Here is a 20396-nt window from a genome sequence, read left to right as displayed (position 1 = left end):
TGCACTCCTGCCTGGGTGAGGGCGTGAGACTTCATCTCTAAATAAATAAATAAATAAATAAATAAATAAATACACATGGTTTTAAAATCAAGAGGTATAAAAAGTTGTATAGTGAAAAGTTCCCTCCTTATTCTTCTATTCCAGTATCCTCATCTATCCTTCTTCCATTCCTCACTCATCATCCCTAGTACTAGTTTTGGTTTCCTTCTGGAGTTTATGTGCATTTAAGTGCCATTATAGACTAATTGAGAGATTTTCATCTTTTAACACCCACATGGCTTAAAATTTTATATGTTTATTATCTCCACCTCCTTATCATCTCTCATCTACTTAAAACAATACTTTAGGCTGGGCACAGTGGCTCACACCTGTAATCTCAGCTCTTTGGGAGGCCATGGCAAGAGGATAGCTTGAGCCCAGGAGTTTGAGACCAGCCTGGGCAACATAGCGAGACCCTGTCTCTACAAAAAACAAATTAGGCCGGGTGCGGTGGCTCACGCCTGTAATCCCAGCACTTTGTGAGGCCAAGGTGGGCGGATCACGAGGTCAGGAGATCGAGACCATCCTGGTTAACACGGTGAAACCCCGTCTCTACTAAAAATACAAAAAATTAGCCAGGTGTGGTGGCGGGCGCCTGTAGTCCCAGCTACTCGGGAAGCTGAGCAGGAGAATGGCGTGAACCCGGGAGGCGGAGCTTGCAGTGAGCTGAGATTGCATCACTGCACTCCAGCCTGGGCGACAGAGTGAGACTCCACCTCAAAAAAAAAAACAAAAAACAAAAAACAAATTAGCTGGGTGTGGTGACATGTGCCTGTAGTTCCAACTACTTGGGAGACTGAAGTGGGAGGATCACTTGAGCCCAGGAGGTAGAGGCTACAGTGAGTCGTGACTGCACCGCTGCACTCCGGCCTGGGTGACAGAGTGAGACCCTGTCTCAAAAACAAAAACAAAAACAACAACAACAACAACAAAAAACATAGACTTTATTTTTTCAGAACATAAAGTTCACAGCAAAATTCAGCAGAACACACAGAGATTTCCCATATACCTCTTGCCCCCACATATGTATAGACTCCCCCACTATCAAAATCCTTCACCAGAGTGGTACATTCATTACAAACAATGAACCTACATTGGCATGTCATTATCACTCCAAGTCCAGAGTTTACATTAGGGTTCATTCTTAGCGTTGTACATTGTGTGGGTTTTGACAAATGCATGATGACATGCATCCACCATTATAGTATCATACCGAATAGTTTTGCTTCCTAGAAATCCTCTGCCTGTTCATCCTTTCCTCCTAACTCCTAGCAACCACTGATTCTTTTATTCTCCATAGTTTTGCCTTTTCCAGAGTGTCATATAATTGGAATCATACAGCATGTAAACTTTTGAAATCGGCTTATTTTGCTAAGTCGATGCATTTAAGTTTCCTCCGTGTCTTTTTATGGCTTGATAGCTCATCTCATTTTAGCACTGAATAATATTCCATTGTCTGGATGTTCCACAGCTTATTTATTCACTCACCTACCGAAGGACGTCTTGGTTCTTTCCAAGTTTTGACAATTGTGAACAAAGCTGCTATACACATTCATATTCAGGTTTTTATGTGGACATAAATTTTAAACTCATTTGGGTAAATACCAAGGAACACAATTGCTGGATCATATGGTAAGAGTAAGTTTAATATTATAAGAAACTGGCAAACTGTCTTCCAAAGTGGCTGTACGATTTTGCACTCCCACCAGCAATGAATGAGGGTTTCCCACTTACTTTTCCACAAACTGCTGGCACTTTCCCACTTTCCCCACCCCACTAAAACAACTTTTGCTAAGATAAGCAATGGCTTCCCAGTTGCTGTCAATGTGTACTTTTTAGCTCTTATTTTACTGGACGTATCTGTTGACTACTCACATATACTTTACTCTCTTATCTCTTCACCTCGAATACTAGTCTTTTCGGTTACTCTTCTCCCATTTAGATGGCTCCTTCCCTTTTTCTGTTGTTAGTGGTTTCTGGTCTTGGTTTATCCCTCAATTGTTGATATTTTAAAATTTTCTCCTTCATACTTTTGTAACTCCGTACACTTTTCAGAGGTAATTTCCAAAATCTAGCAGCAATCCAAAGATTGTTTTTGTTTGTTTGTTTGTTTTTTGTTTTTTGAGACAAAGTCTCGCTCTGCACCCAGGCTGGAGTGCAGTGGTGCCATCTCAGCTCACTGCAACCTCCACCTCCGGGGTTCAAGCAATCCTCCCACCTCAGCTTTCTGAGTAGCTGGAACTACAGGCATGTGTCACCACGCTTGGCACTTTTAAAATTTTTAGAAGAGACAGGGGTCTCCCTCTGTTGTCCAGGCTGGTCTCGAACTCCTGAGCTCAAGTAATCCTCCTGCCTTGACCTCTCACAGTTCTGGGATTACAGCAGAAATTCTTAACTGAATTGGAGATATACATTTTCGTTGGCTTATTGTCTATTAGACTGCTAAAATTCAGCACACTACTCCATTCCTGGGCACCAAAAGTAAGCAAATCTCTGCTCCTCTTCCTTTATTTTTGATCCAGATGGGTGGCACTACTGTCCATCTTAAACTGCTCACACCTGAAATCTGAAGCCTTCTTAGATGACTTTTCCTTGCTTGGCCCTCCGCATTCAGGAAAATTGATTTTACTTCCTAGACACGCCTTCAGTCTGCCTCTCCTTTACATTGCCACAGCCACTGCCTTGGATCAGCCCTCCACCTTCATTTCCGGTACTGATGCAATGGCCTCCTGATTGTTCTCCTACTTCTGGGCTCACTCTCTGCTCTTCGCCCTCCACACCAGTGTCTGGGCGATCTATTTATAAAGTAACCCTCGACAGCGTCATTCCTCTGCAATACTCATGGCCTCGAGGAAAAAAAGTCCGAGCTCTCAAGTGTGGTGGGCAGCGTACTTCATGGTCTGACTCTACCTGTTCTTCGGACTCTGTTCCTTCCTGAATTTCCTGGGGCAGGCTTTCTTAGGCACCTGGAATGTCACATCTCTGCCTGTGCCTGAAATACCCTTCTCTCGTCTGCCTAGGCGCTGTCTCTATTCTAAAGGCCCTCTTTTATTTGGAGCTTCTCCCTCTTCTACTCCCATCTTCACCCCCCAGCTGAGTTAAGTGCTTCTTTCTTTCTGTACCATAATCGCTTGACATCTCAGCAGCACTGCCAGTCACGCCATTTTATACCGCTCTATTTTCTTGTTCAAGATCATGTGGACTTTTTATGCGCATAAGTTTTACTTTAACACTTACAAATGGCTTTCCCAACGCTATTTCCTTTGATCTTCATGGTACTCCTTTTGTCCTTGAATTGTGTATAAAACCCTAAAAACTAACAACAACAACAACAACAACAACAACGAGTCTGAAACAAAGTTTATACGTTAACACTTTATTTGGAGTGGAATTCCAGGGCAGCAAGAGTGAAGGAAGAAGGAAGGAGGGAATTCAAGCAGGGAGGGAGGGTAGGCAAACATAAGGTGGCATCTTTCTTATCCTGCAGATCACTATTTCACAAAGACACAGCCAAGCCCATCATACAAGGCATCTCCTGAGAGGCTGCATAGATCCATTGAGACCCAGAACAGACCATTAGGTTTGGAAAGGTGGAAAAGTAAGTGATTTATTCGTCAGTGGCTTCTTATTTTGTGCTTTTCATTGGACAAAATTTAACGATTTTTTTTTCTCTTTCTTTATTTCTTGCTTTTTAAAAATTTTCAGAGCAGAAGAACTTGACCATCTAATTATTTTTAAATTTCCCAGACCTCCAGGGTGTTATTTGCCTCCCCACCCGCCCCCGTCGCCCACTTTTCCCCGGCAGCTGCTGGGGAAGCCAACAGCTGGGTCCGGTCGGGTAGAACTTGGGCGCCTAAGCAGCCAAGGCTCCTGCTGGGGCAGAAACAACGCAGCTGTGTGGAAGCTCAGCGAGTGGCATGAGGAGAGGAAGCAACTGCAGTGGCAGGGGGCTGTCACTTTGGCAAGCTGCCAAGAGGCCAGGGCAGGTTGGATCAAGCAATTCTTTTTCTCTAATTGAGATTTTATTGGTTGTGTTGGGGATCAGTACGTACACAGACATTTCACAATTTTGCACACAATTTGTACACAATTTTGTACCAAAAATCTAAAAAGCCATGTATTGTAAGCGTTAAAAACAGATATTCTCATGACTTTGCCGCTTGAAATTTGAAGGCCAAATTTCCTTAAGATATCAAATGCCAGTGTCTTCAAATGTGGATAACCTGTTACGTAAGTACCATCAATGAACAATTTTATATCATAGACACTACGTACTGAAATTTTCAATCTTTCACAGCACATTAACAAAGTTCCTAGGAAAACAGGACCACCACAACCAAAGATGCTACAGAGCACACGTGGTTTTGACAGGGAGAGCCACCATCAAGGAGTAGTTGTCTTTTTTTATTGAGACAGAGTCTTGCCCTGTCACCCAGGCTGGAGTGCAGTGGTGCAATCTCAGCTCACTACTATCTCCACATCCCAGGTTCAAGCAATTTTCCCGCCTCAGCCTCCCAAGTAGCTGGGATTACAGGTGGGTGCCACCACACCTGGCTAATTTTTTGTATTTTTAGTAGAGATGGGGTTTTGCCATGTTGGCCAGGCTGGTCTCGAACTCCTGACTTCAGATGATCCACCCGCCTCAGCCTCCCAAAATGCTGGGGTTACAGGTGTGAACCACTGCACCTGGCCCAAGGAGTGGTTTTCTTAGGAAACAATTCTACTAAAAAACAACACGGGAATAGGATTAAAAATGTTCAAGACATTAAGTGCGGGACTGTGACTCCATATTGCCATGTAGTATGCTTTCTATTATAGGATATAAAAACTATCCCCCATTTGTGGAATATGAAGCCGACACCCAAGACAGTCAAAGTCTCCTGTAATCCAGTATTCCACATTATTTGCTGGTTGTACCAAAAATAAATAACTAGCAAATAATTTCATCTCTGAAATAAAAGCATTCACACTTAAAAAAAATGAGATGAAGAGGGATTCCCTCCTTCTTAAAAATGTTTCTAGAGGCTGGGCACGGTGGCTCGCATCTGTAATCCCAGCACGTTGGGAGGCTGAGGTGGGTGGATAACCTGAGGTCAGGGGTTCCAGACTAGCTAGGCCAACATGGTGAAACCCCATCTCTACTAAAAATACAAAAAAAATTAGCCAGGCGTGGTGGCGGGCACCTGTGATCCCAGCTACTCGTGAGGCTGAAGTAGGAGAATTGCTTGAACCTGGGAGGCCCAGGTTGCAGTGAGCCCAGAATGTGCCAATGCACTCCAGCCTGGGTAATAGAATGAGACTCTGTCTTAAAAAAAGAATATAAAAAAAAGAAAAAAAGAAGTTTCTAGAGCTACTAAAACACTTGGCATTTACAAAATAGTTGATAAAAAATATTCGTCTGGATTGTATAGGAAGGGAGACAGGGACTGTGGCTAAGACAGGGCATATGATACTAATCAGACTTGGCTTCTTTGTCTCCAGGTTCATCAGAGGCTGGACTGTCCCCATTTTCAGTTTCTCCATTTTCTGTAGGTAAATCTTCTTGAGTTTCCTGGTTAGCCATTTTGGCCTGTTTTCCCTTTCCTCTTCTTTTTCCCCTTTGTTTGCCTTTTTTGGTCTGAAGGTTTATCCTTTCCCACTGCCTTTTTTGTTTTCGTTTTTACTGTTGCAGGAGCAGGTTTATCTGACAACCTCACCCATCTCCTCTTGGGATCTTCCTTCACTGTGTCTTGGGCTGAGTTGCCCTCCTCTCGGGTATCTTGATGGTGAGGAGGCCACTGCTACTCCTCTTACAGCTCGAACTGCTGAGACCTGCAGCCAGGGCAGTGGGAGAACCTGATGGGACCTGGGTCAAGCCAATACGATACAGCACATACACGGTCAAATTCATCAATGATGTTAGAAAAACCCAGTTTTCCTCATATTGCTGATGAGGGAACTGAAACTAGAGAAACAAATTAACTTGTCCAAAGTCACACAACCATTATGATTGAGTTAGAATGTATTTCAAAGTACTTTTCCCTATATATTTTACAATGTTTTGCACTGAACAAATGTATGTCTGAAGTTTCTATTTTTTTCTCTCCTTCCTCAAACACTAATGACATTTTTTGTTTTTAACTTTTATTTTATAAAGTTCAGAGATACACGTGCAGGTTTGTTATATAGGTAAATTGTGTGTCATGGGAGTTTAGTGTACAGATTATTTCATCACCCAGGTAGTAAGCATAGTCCCCGATTGGTAGTTTTTTGATCCTCACCCTCCTCCCTCCCTCCAAACTCAAGCAGGCCCCAGTGTCTATTGTTCCTATATTATTATGTCTATGTCTGTTGACATGAAGTCCACTCAATGTGAGAACATACAGTATTTGGTTTTCTGTTCCTGTGTTAGTTTGCTTAGGATAATGGTCTCCAGCTTCATCCATGTTGCTGCAAAGGACATGATCTTGTTCCTTTTTATGGCTGTGTAGTATTCTATGGTATATACATACCACATTTTCTTTATCCAGTCTTCCACTGATGGGCATTTAAGTTGATTCCATGCGTTTGTTATTGTGAATAGTGCTATGATGAACATACACGTGCATGTGCCTTTATGGCAGAACAATTTATATTCCTTTGGGCATATACCCCATAATGGGATTGCTGGGTCAAATAGTAATTCTGCTTTGAGTTCTTTGAGAAATCTCAAAACTGCTTTCCATAATGGCTGAACTAATTTACATTCCTACTAGCAGTGTATAAGCATTCCCTTTTTTTCACAACCTTGCCAACATCTGTTATTTTTTTGACTTTTTAATAATAGCCATCTGACTGGTATGAGATGGTATCTTATTGTGGTTTTGATTTGCATTTCTCTTTTGACTAGTGATACTGAGCATTTTTTCATATGCTCTTTGGCCATGTATATGTCTTCCTTTTTTTTTTTTTTTTTTTTTTGGAGACAAGAGTCTTGCTCTGTTCCCGGGGTGGAATGCAGTGATGTGATCACAGCTCCCTGCAGTTTCTACCTCCTGGGCTCAAGCTATCCTCCTGCCTCCAGAGTAGCTGGGACCACAGGTATGCATCGCTACACCTGGCTAATTTTTTATTTTTAGGAGAGACGAAGTCACGATGTTGCACAGGCTGGTCTCAAAGTCCTGGGCTCAAGTGATCCTCCCACCTTTTGGTCTCCCAAAGTGCTGGGATTACAGATGTGAGCCACTGTGCCCGGCTGTATGTCTTCTTTTGAAAAGTGTTTGTTCATGTCCTTTGCCAACTTTTTAATGGACAAATGGTTGTTAATTTGTTTAAATTACTTATAGATTCTGGATATTACTCCTTTGTTGGATACACAGTTTGCAATATTTTCTCCCATTCTGTAGGTTGTTTACTCTGCTAATAGTTTCTTTTGCTGTGCAGAAGCTTTTTAGTTTAATTAGGTCCCATTTGTCCATTTTTATTTCTGTTGCAATTGCTTTTAGTGTCTTAATGATGAAATCTTTGCTAAGTCCTATGTTCAGAATGGTACTTCCTAGGTTCTCTTCCAGGGTTTTTATAGTTTCAGATTTTACATCTAAGTCTTTAAACCATCTTGAACTGATTTTTGTATATGGTTAAAAGAAGGGGTCCAGTTTCACTCTTCTGCATATGGCTAGCTGGTTATCCCAGCACCATTTATTGAATAGGAAGTCCTTTCCCCATTGCTTGTTTTTGTCAACTTTGTCTAAGATCAGATGATTGTAGGTGTGCAGCTTTATTTCTGGGCTCTTTATTCTGTTCCATTGGTCTATGTGTCTGTTTTTGTACCAGTACCATGCTGTTTTGGTTACTGTAGGCTAAATACTGATGACTTTTGATTTAGCCAGCCAATTAACAGTCCAGCCCTTTCTGTCTGGACTGGTCTTTTCCTTTCCAAAACTCTTATTTGTATCCCAACTTCCTGAACTCCATTTTTTTTTTTTTTTTTTTTCTGCAAAGAGCACTGGCGGGCAGTTTAAAGTAGGGCAAGTTCCTTCAGACTATAGGTTATCCCTGCCTAGGATGCATAGGAAACAGCTGCAGGTTCAGGCAATTATGATAAAGCCAGAGATACTAAGTTCTGGACTTCTTAGTGGCCTATTTGATTGGTAATTATCTAGTCTACAAGTCCTCAGGTCCAGGTAGGACAAAAAGGACACTATTACTTTATCTTGATTGGCTCTCTAGACACGGTTACCTTTTACATAGAAGGGAGGCTCTATCAGAGGAAAGTTGGAGATGGGACAAATCTCAGGTGAACCCTATTCTAATTGAGTGCACTAGCTCCATTAATCAGCAACAGCTGAGCAAGACCAGCATCCCTTGAACCTATTATCTTTGCGGCTGCCTTCCCTTTGTTTCTCACATTCACGAAGACCCTGCTGCTTGTGTTTGTGTGTAGATAGAAAGGGGATCTCTTGGGGCAGCTATGTCTTCCTCTACGGACAAGCGTGATACATATGGAAATTCCAAGTGGTGGTACCTGTGAAGAAGCGGACAATTCTGGAACCCTGGTGTTTGTGGCAAAGAAAGAAAGGAAGCAAGGAGAACCAGCCACCCTGAAAGGAGGTAGCAATGGTTAGCTTTATCCAGGGTTTCCTGATGTCACTCTACCTTCTTCATTTTTTTGTCTCATTTCTTCTTTCCCCCAAAGTAACAGTGCTAAATGTAAAATACTGTTGCATTGAACCAGGTCTCCTTCTAAGCCCGGGAGAGCTGGAACCTTCCTCCATTTTATTATGTATGTTTTTCTTTCTTACTTCCTCTTACTTCAGGCCAGAAAGCCTATATACTGCCAGGAATAAAACAATGAAAGCCAGTCTTTGCTGCTGGCTCTATGCATGTGGCCAAATGATTATTGGCAAGAGCACTGTTAGGATGCTAGCAGGGGATTCTGAAGGTGTCTGCTAATAACATATTCTCACGGGATGATTTAGGGAGGCTGCAGGAATACAAGGCTCTTTCTGGTGTGAAAAGCAATTCCACTCTCCTTGGGGGCTGTCTGACCTTGTCCCTTTTTCCTCTCACCCGAGACTGCCCTGTGGTCCCACCCAGTGTTTTCATAAAGAAACACTTTTAGATAATAACACACAGAAATTACCTGCTTGGCCAGTTAACATATCTGGGTGCCAGAAAGCCACCATGGAAGGGGCAGGCATTCTGTGGGACTCCCCTGCTTTTTAAAAGCTGAGTTCAATCTCTGTTCTATCTTCCAACAGTGTCTGGTGGAATCGTTTGAAACTTTCAAAATAAGTTGATAGGAATTTTATGTCTATTGAATCTAATAAAAAAACTTGAGCTTGTATTCCTTTTTTTCCCTCATTTTCTTCTTCTATTGACTCATTTTTAGTGTATTTTATTAGGGAATCAGGGGTAATTGGAAAAGAACAACAAAAAAATCTGTTCCACGGGCGTTTTGAGAAGCAGAGCCCCTAAGTCATGCTGGTGCCCAACTTCTCTTACCCATATTGGCGCAGGGATACCCTCTGCAGATGTCTCCTCCCAGAGTCCCAAAAAAGGAATGGAGCAATTTCCCTGCAGTCCCCGGTGTTCCCCCTCAGCCTGTCCGCCTTACTTCCGGGAAACTGGGAACCCGTTGTGGGACCACCTCCTGTCTTCCTCTTTCTTCCTGTCCTACAATCCCCTTCATCAGGAGAGGGCGGATGTTTCTTTAACTTCCAATCTATCTACTATAGTCCATCGGGACTAGCTCTTGATACACTTAATGTGAGTTAAAAATGTAGAGAATCCTTTCTCTCTCAATTGTGTCTGTTATCTAGTTTATTGTTATGCTACGCCATCTCTTGAATGTTATAAGTTGAATAATAACTCCTGCTCTTCTCATTCCTTCTTTCACAGTCTCAATCCAATCTGCACCTCCTTCTCTCCCACGATACTTTAGGTTTTGACAAAGATTCTTTGCTTGGCCAAAGTTTAGTCAGGCTTCCAAATCTTCTGCTCAGCCCATCTATGCACTTTCTTGCAACATCCAGTTTTAGCAAAGAACACTACTAAGTCAGTTTAGCCAGAACCCCTCATCCTCAGTATCTGATCATCCTGGATATCTGATCAGAATTTTCCTCTCCCACGTCCCCAACGCGATGCCTGTTCACCCTGGCCTGTCTTCAGCAAGAATCCTGTTGTGTTGGTTTAGCCAGAATCCCCCTCACCCCTGATGTTTCCTCTTAGTAATTTTCCATCCACTGACCTCCACCCTGCTCGTTGGCATCAATTATGATTTCCACCTGCTTGTGCTGTATTCAGAGTTGCCCCAGTCTCTCCCTGACTGCAAGACCCCATTGCCCTGGTCCCTGTAGCTATCGTGATGGTTCTGAATGACGTTTTCCTTGCCATGCTTTAACTAGTATCACTGAATAAGTTTTCCTTAACAGTTAATTAGGGAGAAGGTCGCATAATGTAGTTTTTCAAAATACTATCTTCCCTTGCACAGCCTCGTGTATTGAGTTATGCTAACAGCACCACTTCTGCCACGGATCCCACACCACACCCTAATAACGTGTAGAGCTGTAAATATATGGCATAATCATTTCTGTTGCATCACTTGTACTGAGCACAAGGCAGGCTCATTCTCACCCTTCAAGTCTCAGCCTAAATGCTGCCTCCCCAGAGATGCCCTTCTTGATGAGTGTCCTCTTCTAGTTAGTTTCTATCTCATCATTCTGGTTTTTTTTTAAATAACTTTATCACAATGTTTTATGCCGCTTGTTTACTTACTAATTGTGTCTCCCATAGAAATGTAAGATCCATGAGGCCAGGATCTTTTATTTATTTTTTATATATTTTTTGAGACAGTGTCTCACTGTGTTGCCCAGGCTGGAGTGCAGTGGTGTGAACATGGCTTACTGCAGCCTTGACCTGTGCTCAAGCAAGCCTCCTACCTCAGCCTCCTGAGTAGCTAGAACGAAGACAGGTACATGCCATGACACCTGGCTAATTTATTTATTTTTAATTTTTTTGTAGAGATGAGGTCTCGCTATGTTGCCCAGGCTGGTCTCGAATTCCTGGACTCAATCATTCCTCCTGCCTTGGCTTCCCAAAATGGGATTACAAGCGTGAACCACTGCTCCCGTGTTTATGTTTTCAGTTTTAATTTTAATTTGTTGGGAGGCCAAGGCAGGTGGATCACTTGAGCCCAGGGGTTTGAGACCAGCCTGGGCAACATGGTGAAACCCTGTCTTTACAAAAAATACACACATTAGCTGGGTGTGGTGGTGGGCACCTGTAGCACCATCTGCTTGGGAGGCTGAGGTGGAGGTGGAAGGAACACCTGAGCCTGGGAAGTTGAGGCTGCCAAGAGCTGTGATTGTGCCACTGCATTCCAGCCTGGGTGACAGAGTAAGACCCCGTCTCTAAATAAATACATATTTTTTTTTAGAGACAGAGTTATGCTCTGTCACCCAGGCTGGAGTGCAGTGGCACAATCATAGCTTGCTACAGCCTTGAACTCCTGGGCTCAAGTGATCTTCCCGCCTCAGCATCCCAAAGTACTGGGATTACAGGCATGAGCCACTGCAGCTGGCCCTTTTATTTTTATTTATTATTGTATCTCCAATTCCTAGCATAGAGCCTGGTGCACAGCAGGTGATTGTAAATCTTTATTGAGAAAGTGAAAAGGTACTAGAGAGCTCCCTCTTGTGGATGCTTAGGCTGCGAATCCCTTTTGAGGCATGCATGGAATTGCAACGTTACTCCTGCCCATGGCTTTTTGTATTTGAAACATCTGGAGTCCTGTAAAGGTGATTGCATTTTGCTATTCAGGAAGGGTCGCTAATTTCAGCTTAAGATGTTCAAGTTTCATAAAAAGAAAAGATGATAGGTGATGGAGCTCCCCCAGGAGAATTCAGAGAGCGAACCTGAGAGAAGATAGGGGAAGAGAAAATGGTCACGACTCAGACAGAGGTCCTACTGTCTCTATTATGTCAGTTGCCTAATTTGAGGCACACTTTTGTGGCCCAGGAGGTGTCCAGGCAAGCGAGCAAGGGAAATGATTGTTGTAAATGACCATTATGCCAGTGCCCGGGGCAGTGGCTGAAGTGGAGGACCCAGTGGGTGCCACATTTTAGGGTAAAGTGGCCCAGGCAGGCTGCCACTCTCTGCACCGCATGCCACTTTATGGTTGAAGCTAAAGATGACACCTGCTCTTTCCCTGGGGTATTTTGTGAGTCAGAGACTGAAGCCAGCACAGCTGCTCCTCTGCAGGGCATTGTCATTCCCTGCTGCAGCCCCATATCTGGGAGCAGCCCTGGTCTCCCCCTTCTCTCTTCCCTTCCACATTTGTCAATAGCCAATTGATTTAATCTTCCAACTCTCTCTTGATTATGGTTTGCTTTTCTCCTTCTCCTTTGCTGGAGACCAAGCTGGCATCTTTTTTGCCTAATTGATTGCAAGAATCTCCTGAGAGTTTATTCCAAATCAGACTTGATGGCTTCTATTTTACTTTTTAGTATGATCTCAATCAGGTCCGTCTCCAGATTAAATTAACAGATCCTCTGTTGTTTCATTGATCAAAGATCTCCGTCTTTCTCCTTCCTTAAGCCTTATCTTATTACTTATATTTTCTTCCCTCCTCTCAATTCTTAAGATTTTCCCCTATTTTTCCAGTTTCTAGAACTTATAATGCTTTTTTTTTTCTTTTTTTAAAAATAGTGCTTTTGCACCATAGTTTCATTTTGTCCAGCACACGATTAATTTATGTATACTGGCCTACTATTCTGAGAGCCTGTAAAGCTCACTTTTATTTCTATTAGCTTTAAAAGATTCCATAGTAATTTCCATAGAGATACTCATGTTGTCTGCAAATGAAGACAGGTTTACTTCTTTCTTTCCAAAGTGTCTGCATGTACTTCTTTTTCTTTTTATCTTTTTTTTGAGAGAGTCTCACTCTTTCGCCCAGGCTGGAGTGCAGTGGCACAATCTCAGCTCATGGCAACCTCTGCCTCCTGGGTTCAAGCAATTCTCCTGTCTCAGTCTCCTGAGAAGCTGGGACCACAGGCATGCACACCCGGCTAACTTTTGTGTTTTTAGTAGAGACGGGGTTTCACTATGTTGGCCAGGTTGGTCTTGAACTCCTGACCTCAAGTGATCCGCCTAGGCCTCCCAAAGTGCTGGGATTATAGGTGTGAGCCACCATGCCCGGCCATGTACTTCTTTTTCTTGCCTTATTGCCCCAGCTAGAATCTCCAGTGGTGTTAAATAAGCGTGGGGAGCATGGATGTTCTTCCTGATCTTAGGGGGAAAGGATTCAGTCTTTCACCTTTAAGTGATGTTAGCATACTTTTTTTTATAGGTTTTCTTTTTCAGGTTGAGAAAACTTCATTCTATTTTTTTTAGCTTGTTGAAAATTTTTATCATGAAGGCATATTGAATTTTATGAAATACTTTTTCTGCAACTCTTAAGATAATCATATGATTTTACTTTTTACATGGACTGATTTCAAATATTGAGCAAATTCTCTATTCCAAGAGAAACTTTACTTGTTTATTCTTTTTATATGTTGCCAGATTTGATTTGTTAATATATTTTTAAGAATTTTAGCATCTGTGTTCATGAGAGATCATGATATGTACTTTTCTTGTAATATCTTGGTCTGGACTTGCTATTAATGTTGGCCTGATAAAATTAGCTGGAATTTCATCTTCTACTCTCTGTAAATGTGTGTAGAATTTGTATTATTTCTTATCCAAATGTTTCATAGCCTTCACCACTGAAACCGTCTGGGCCTAGACATTTTTCTATGGGAATGTTTGCAGCTATAAATTTAATATCTTTTGTATATGATATTCAAGTTATCTACCTTTTGAATGAGATTTGGCAGTTTTAGCTTTTAAAGGAATTTGTCCATTTCTTGTAGGTTATTAAATTTATTGGTATAAAGTTATTCATAATGTTTCTTTATTGTATCTCTAGGATCTATAGTGATGTCTCCCTCCTTCATTCCTTTTTTTTTTTTCTTAATATTTTTTAGAACAGGTTCTCGCTATATTGCCTGGGCAGGTCTCGAATGCCTGGGCTCAAGTTATCCTCCCACCCCTACCTCCCTAAGTGTTAGAATTACAGAGCCACTGCCCCCAGCCTCTTTTATTCTTGATCTTTGTTAAATTGTGTAATTCTTTTTGTCTCTTAAGTCTGGCTATAGAGGTCTACAGATTTTATTAAATTTGAAAAAACCTAGCTTTTGGTTTTGATTTTCTGTGTTGCTTTTCTGTTTTCTATTTTAATGATTTCTACACTTTTATTATTTCATTTCTTCTGTTTGCCTTGGGTTTAATTTGCTCTTCTTTTTCTAGTTTCTTACCATCAAAGTTTAGACCCTTCTTCTTTGTTCATGTAAGCATTTAACATGACATACCTTTCTCTCTAAGGACTGTTTCAGCTGTATCCTATAATTTTGAAATGTTGTTTTCATTTTTTTAAAATTCAAAATGTTTTCCAGTTTTTTTTTGTGACTTGTTCTTTGATTACTGAATTATTTAGAATTGTTAATTTCCAAAGATTTGGAGATTTTTTAGATGTCATTTTAATATTGATATTAGTTGAGTTGTGGTCAAAGAACATACTGTTTATGATTTAAATTCTACTACATTTATTGAAATTTGTTTTATAGCCCCAAATATAGTCCATCTTGGTGAATGTTTCATGTGTACTTGAAAGGAATGTGTTTTCTGCTGTTGTTGAGTGTTGTGTTCTATAGAAGGCAATAGGTCAGTTTGGTCAATGGTGTTGCTTAAGTCTTCTATATCTATTTCTGTGTACCTGTGCTACCACTTACTAAAAGAGGAACTTTGGGGCCGGGTGCATTGACTCACACCTGTAATCCCAGGACTTTGGGAGGCTGAGGCGGGCAGATCACGAGGTCAGGAGATCGAGACCATCCTGGCTAACAGTGAAACCCCGTCTCTCCTAAATACAAAAAATTAGCCAGGTGTGGTCGTGGGCGCCTGTAGTCCCAGCTACTCGGGAGGCTGAGACAGGAGAATGGCGTGAATCCGGAAGGTGGAGCTTGCAGTGAGCTGAGATCATGCCACTGCACTCCAGCCTGGGCGAGAGAGCAAGACTCTGTCCAAAACAAAACAAAACAAAACAAAACAAAACAAAACAAACAGGGCCTTTTTTTTTAAGGGCCTTTAAATCTCCAATATGTTTGTAGGTTTTTCTATTTCTCTCTCTTTTTTTTATTTTATTTTATTTTTTTTTTAACATATTATTTTTAATTGGCTTAAGTTAAAACACGATTTGTTAATTTTATTCACAGGTTTTGATTTAAAATCCAGCTATATCCAGTTTCTTTTTTTTTTTTTATTATACTCTAAGTTTTAGGGTACATGTGCACATTGTGCAGGTTAGTTACATATGTATACATGTGCCATGCTGGTGCGCTGCACCCACTAATGTGTCATCTAGCATTAGGTATATCTCCCAATGCTATCCCTCCCCCCTCCCCCGACCCCACCACAGTCCCCAGAGTGTGATATTCCCCTTCCTGTGTCCATGTGATCTCATTGTTCAATTCCCACCTATGAGTGAGAATATGCGGTGTTTGGTTTTTTGTTCTTGCGATAGTTTACTGAGAATGATGGTTTCCAATTTCATCCATGTCCCTACAAAGGATCTCTCTCTTTTTTAAATTATACTTTAAGTTCTGACTTACATGTGCAGAACGTGCAGTTTTGTTACATAGGTATACACGTGCCATGTGGTTTGCTGCACCCATCAACTCGTCACCTACATTAGGTATTTCTCCTAACGTTATCTCTCCCCTAGCCCCCCACCCTCCGATAGGCCACAGTGTGTGATGTTCCCCTCCCTGTGTCCATGTGTTCTCGTTATTCAACTCCCACTTATAAGTGAGAACACGCAGTGTTTGGTTTTCTGATCTTGTGATAGTTTGCTGAGAATGATGGTTTCCAGCTTCATCCATGTCCCTGCAAAGGACATGAACTCATCCTTTTTTAATGGCTGCATAGTGTTCCATGGTGTGTATGTGCCACATTTTCTTAATCCAGCCTATCATTGATGGATGTTTAGATTGGTTCCAAGTCTTTGCTATTGTGAATAGTGCTGCAGTAAACATATGTGTGCATGTGTCTTTATCATAGAATGATTTATAATCCTTTGGGTTTATGCCCAGTAATAGGATTGCTGGGTCAAATGGTATTTCTAGTTCTAGATCCTTGAGGAATCACCACACTGTCTTTCACAATGGTTGAACTAATTTACATTCTCACAAACAGTGTAAAAGCATTCCTATTTTTCCACAACCTCTCCATCATCTGTTGTTTCCTGACTTTTTAATGATTGCCATTCTAACTGACCTGAGATGGTATCTCATTGTGGTTTTGATTTGCATTTCTCTAATGACCAGTGATGATGAGCATTTTTTCACGTGTCTGTTGGCTGCATAAATGTCTTCTTTTGAGAAGTGTCTGTTCATATACTTTGCCCACTTTTGGATGGGGCTGTTTGTTTTTTTCTTGTAAATTTGTTTAAGTAAGTTCTTTGTAGATTCTGGATATTAGCCCTTTGTCAGATGGATAGATTGCAAAAATTTTCTCCCATTCTGTAGGTTGCCTATTCATTCTGATGATAGTTTCTTTTGCTGTGCAGAAGCTCTTTAGGTAGATCCTATTTGTGAATTTTGGCTTTTGTTGCCATTGCTTTCGGTGTTTTAAACGTGAAGTCTTTGTCCATGCCTGTGTCCTGAATGGTATTGCCTAGGTTTTCTTCTAGGATTTTTATGGTCCTAGGTCTTACGTTTAACTCTTTGATCCATCTTGAGTTGATTTTTGTATAAGGTGTAAGGAAGGGGTCCAGTTTCAGTTTTCTGCGTATGGCTAGCCAATTTTCCCAACACCATTTATTAAATAGGGAATCTTTTCTTCATTGCTTGTGTGTGTCAGGTTTCTCAAAGATCAGATAGTTGTAGATGTGTGGTGTTATTTCTGAGGACTCTGTTCTGTTCCATTGGTCTATATATCTGTTTTGGTACCAGTACCATGCTGTTTTGGTTACTGTGGCCTTGTAGTATAGTTTGAAGTCAGGTAGCGTGATGCCTCCAGCTTTGTTCTTCTTGCCTAGGATTGTCTTGGCTATGTGGGCTCTTTTTTGGTTCCATATGAAGTTTAAAGTAGTTTTTTCCAATTCTGTGAAGAAAGTCAGTGGTAGTTTGATGGGGATAGCGTGGAATCTATAAATTATTTTCGGCAGTATGGCCATTTTCACGGTGTTGATTCTTTCTATCCATGAGCATGGAATGTTTTTCCATTTGTTTGTATCCTCTCTTATTTCCTTGAGCAGTGCTTTGTAGTTCTCCTTGAAGAGGTCCTTCACATCCCTTGTAAGTTGCATTCCTAGGTATTTTATTCTCTTAGTAGCACTTGTGAATGGGAGTTCACTCATGATTTGGCTTTCTATTTAGGTTTCCTGTTTCTCTTATCAGTCAGGCTCTGTAATTAGGTAGATACATATTTAGAATAGTTATATATATATGTACACACACATATATATGCACCATAAAATTATATGGTCATAAAAATTATATGTATAATATATACATATATGTACATATATGTATATAGTGTATACATATATGTACATATATGTATACACTGTATATATGTACATATATGTATATAGTGTATACATATATGTACATATATGTATATGCAATATGTACATATATGTATATACAATATGTACATATATGTATATACAATATGTACATATATGTATATACTATATACATATATACTATATATACATATATACTATGTATATATACTATATACTATGTGTATATATAGTATACACATATATGTACATACATATATAGTCTACACATATATGTACATACATATATAGTATACACACACGGCATATGTACATATATAGTACATATAGTATACACACACATGGCATATGTACATATATAGTACATATAGTATACACACGCATGGCATATGTACATATATAGTACATATAGTATACACACGCATGACATGTACATATATAGTACATATAGTATACACACGCATGGCATATGTACATATATACTACATCCAGTATACACACGCATGGCATATGTACATATATAGTATAGTATACACACATATGGCATATGTACATACATGTATATATAGTAATATATAGTATATACACATATGGCATATGTACATATGTATATATAGTATATACACATATGGCATATGTACATATATGTACGTATGTAATATGTACACACAGCGTATGTACATATATGTACGTATGTAATATGTACACGTATAGTGTACGCACATATATGTACGTATGTAATATGTACACGTATAGTGTATGTACATATATAATATGTACAAGTATAGTGTATGTACATATATGTACGTACGTAATATGCACATGTATGTACATATATGTACGTACGTAATATGTACATAAATGTACGTATGTAATATGTACATGCATGTACGTATGTGGTATATGTACATGCATGTACATATGTAGTATATGTACATACATGTACGTATGTAGTATATGTACACATGTAGTATACGTACATATATGTACGTACGTAGTATATGTACATATATGTACGTATGTAGTATATGCACATATAGTATATACTATATATAGTATATACTATATATGTGTATATTAGTATATACTAATATGTATATATTATATATGTACATATATGTACATACACCTATGTATATACATGTACATATATGTAATATGTACATACATGTGGGCACATATATGTGTGTATATATATTATACATATAATTTGTTTTTTGAGATAGAGTCTCACTCTGTTGCCCAGACTGAAGTCCAGTGGCGTGATCTCAGCTCACTGTAACCTCCAACTCCCAGGCTCAAGCGATTCTCCCACTTCAGCCTCCTAAGTAGCTGGGACACAGGCATGCACCATCATGCCTGGCAAATTTTTGTACTTTTTGTAGAGACGAGGTTTCACTATGTTACCCAGCTCCTGATCTCAAGCAATCTGCCCACCTCAGCCTCCCAAAGTGCTGGTTACAGGCATGAGCCACTGCACCCAGCCATCTTTTCTTAATGAATTGGCTTCTTTATCTTTAAGAAGTATTTCTTTTTATCCCTACTAATACTTCATGTTCTAAAATCTACTTAATCTAATATTAATATAGGCATTTTAGCTTTCTTTGGATTTTTTCTTCTTATTTTAACCCTCTATGTCTATGTATAAAGTGAGTTTCTTCTTGTAGACAGTATGTAGTTGAGTCTTTTTAAAAAATCAGTCTGACAATCTCTACTTTTTGATTGTTTAAACAATTTATATTTAATGTAATTATCTATATGGTTATGTTTAAATGCACCATATTGCTGTTTGTTTTCTGTTTGTCTCAATTGCTCATTTTTCCTTTTTGTCTTTACCTGACTTCTTTTGGATTGAGTATTTTTTTTTTCTGATTTCATTTTATCTTCACTAGGCTTACAGCCCTTTTTTTTTTTAAAGGTGATTGCTCTAGGACATACTGTATATATACGTATATATATACACACACACAAATATTTTCACTTTTCAGTCTATTTTCAAATATTATACCATTGTACATATGGTATAAAAATGTTAGAGAAGTGTATTTACTTTACTGTCTTTCTTTTCTTTGTGCTACTGTTATTATATATTTTACATCATATTTTTAATTTACTTCTACATATACTATAAAATCCATAATTAATTTTCTTACTATTAGTAGTTAATTATCCTTTAAAAAATAACTTTGTGGCCACGCACGGTGGCTTATACCTGTAATACCAGCACTTTGAGAGGCCAAGGCAGGAGGATCACTTGAGGTCAGGAGTTCAAGACCAGCCAGGCCAACATGGTGAAACCCCATCTCTACTAAAAATACAAAAATTATCCGGGCATGGTGGTGGATGCCTGTAATCCCAGCTATTTGGGAGGCTGAGGCAGGAGAATCACTTGAACATGAAAGGCAGAGGTTGCAGTGAGCTGAGATCATGCCATTGCACTCCAGCCCGGGTGACACAGCAAGACTCCATCTCAAAACAACAACAACAACAACAACAACAACAACAACAACAACAACAACAACTTTGTGTGGCTGAGTGCAGTGGCTCACGCCTGTAATCCCAGCACACTTTGAGTTCTCGTGTTGAGGCCAGGAGTTTGAGACCAGCCTGGCCAACATGGTGAAACCCCATCTCTAATAAAAATAAAACAATTAGCTGGATATGGTGGCACATGCCTGTAATCCCAGCTACTTGGGTGATTGAGGTGGGAGAATCGCTTGAACCCTGGAGGAAGAAGTTGCAGTGAGCCAAGATCATGCCACTGTCCTTC

The 20396-nt window shown here is 40.1% G+C and overlaps 1 pseudogene, besides 1 other annotated feature; it reads right to left on the bottom strand.

Annotated features, from left to right (window-relative positions):
* On the bottom strand, positions 5495-5768 carry HMGN1P23 (high mobility group nucleosome binding domain 1 pseudogene 23; annotated as a pseudogene).
* Positions 11737-11856: an enhancer, noted in NCBI's record as "active region_6038". NCBI's record gives its function as "activates an Ori minimal core promoter by ATAC-STARR-seq in GM12878 lymphoblastoid cells {active_cell/tissue: GM12878}" and the evidence as "EXISTENCE:reporter gene assay evidence [ECO:0000049][PMID:35858748]".

Source organism: Homo sapiens, chromosome 12 (assembly GCF_000001405.40).
Source record: "Homo sapiens chromosome 12, GRCh38.p14 Primary Assembly".
Classification (NCBI taxonomy): Eukaryota; Metazoa; Chordata; class Mammalia; order Primates; family Hominidae; genus Homo; species Homo sapiens.
The sequence above is the reverse complement of the archived record's forward strand: the minus strand, read 5'-3'. Positions and strand labels throughout refer to the sequence as shown.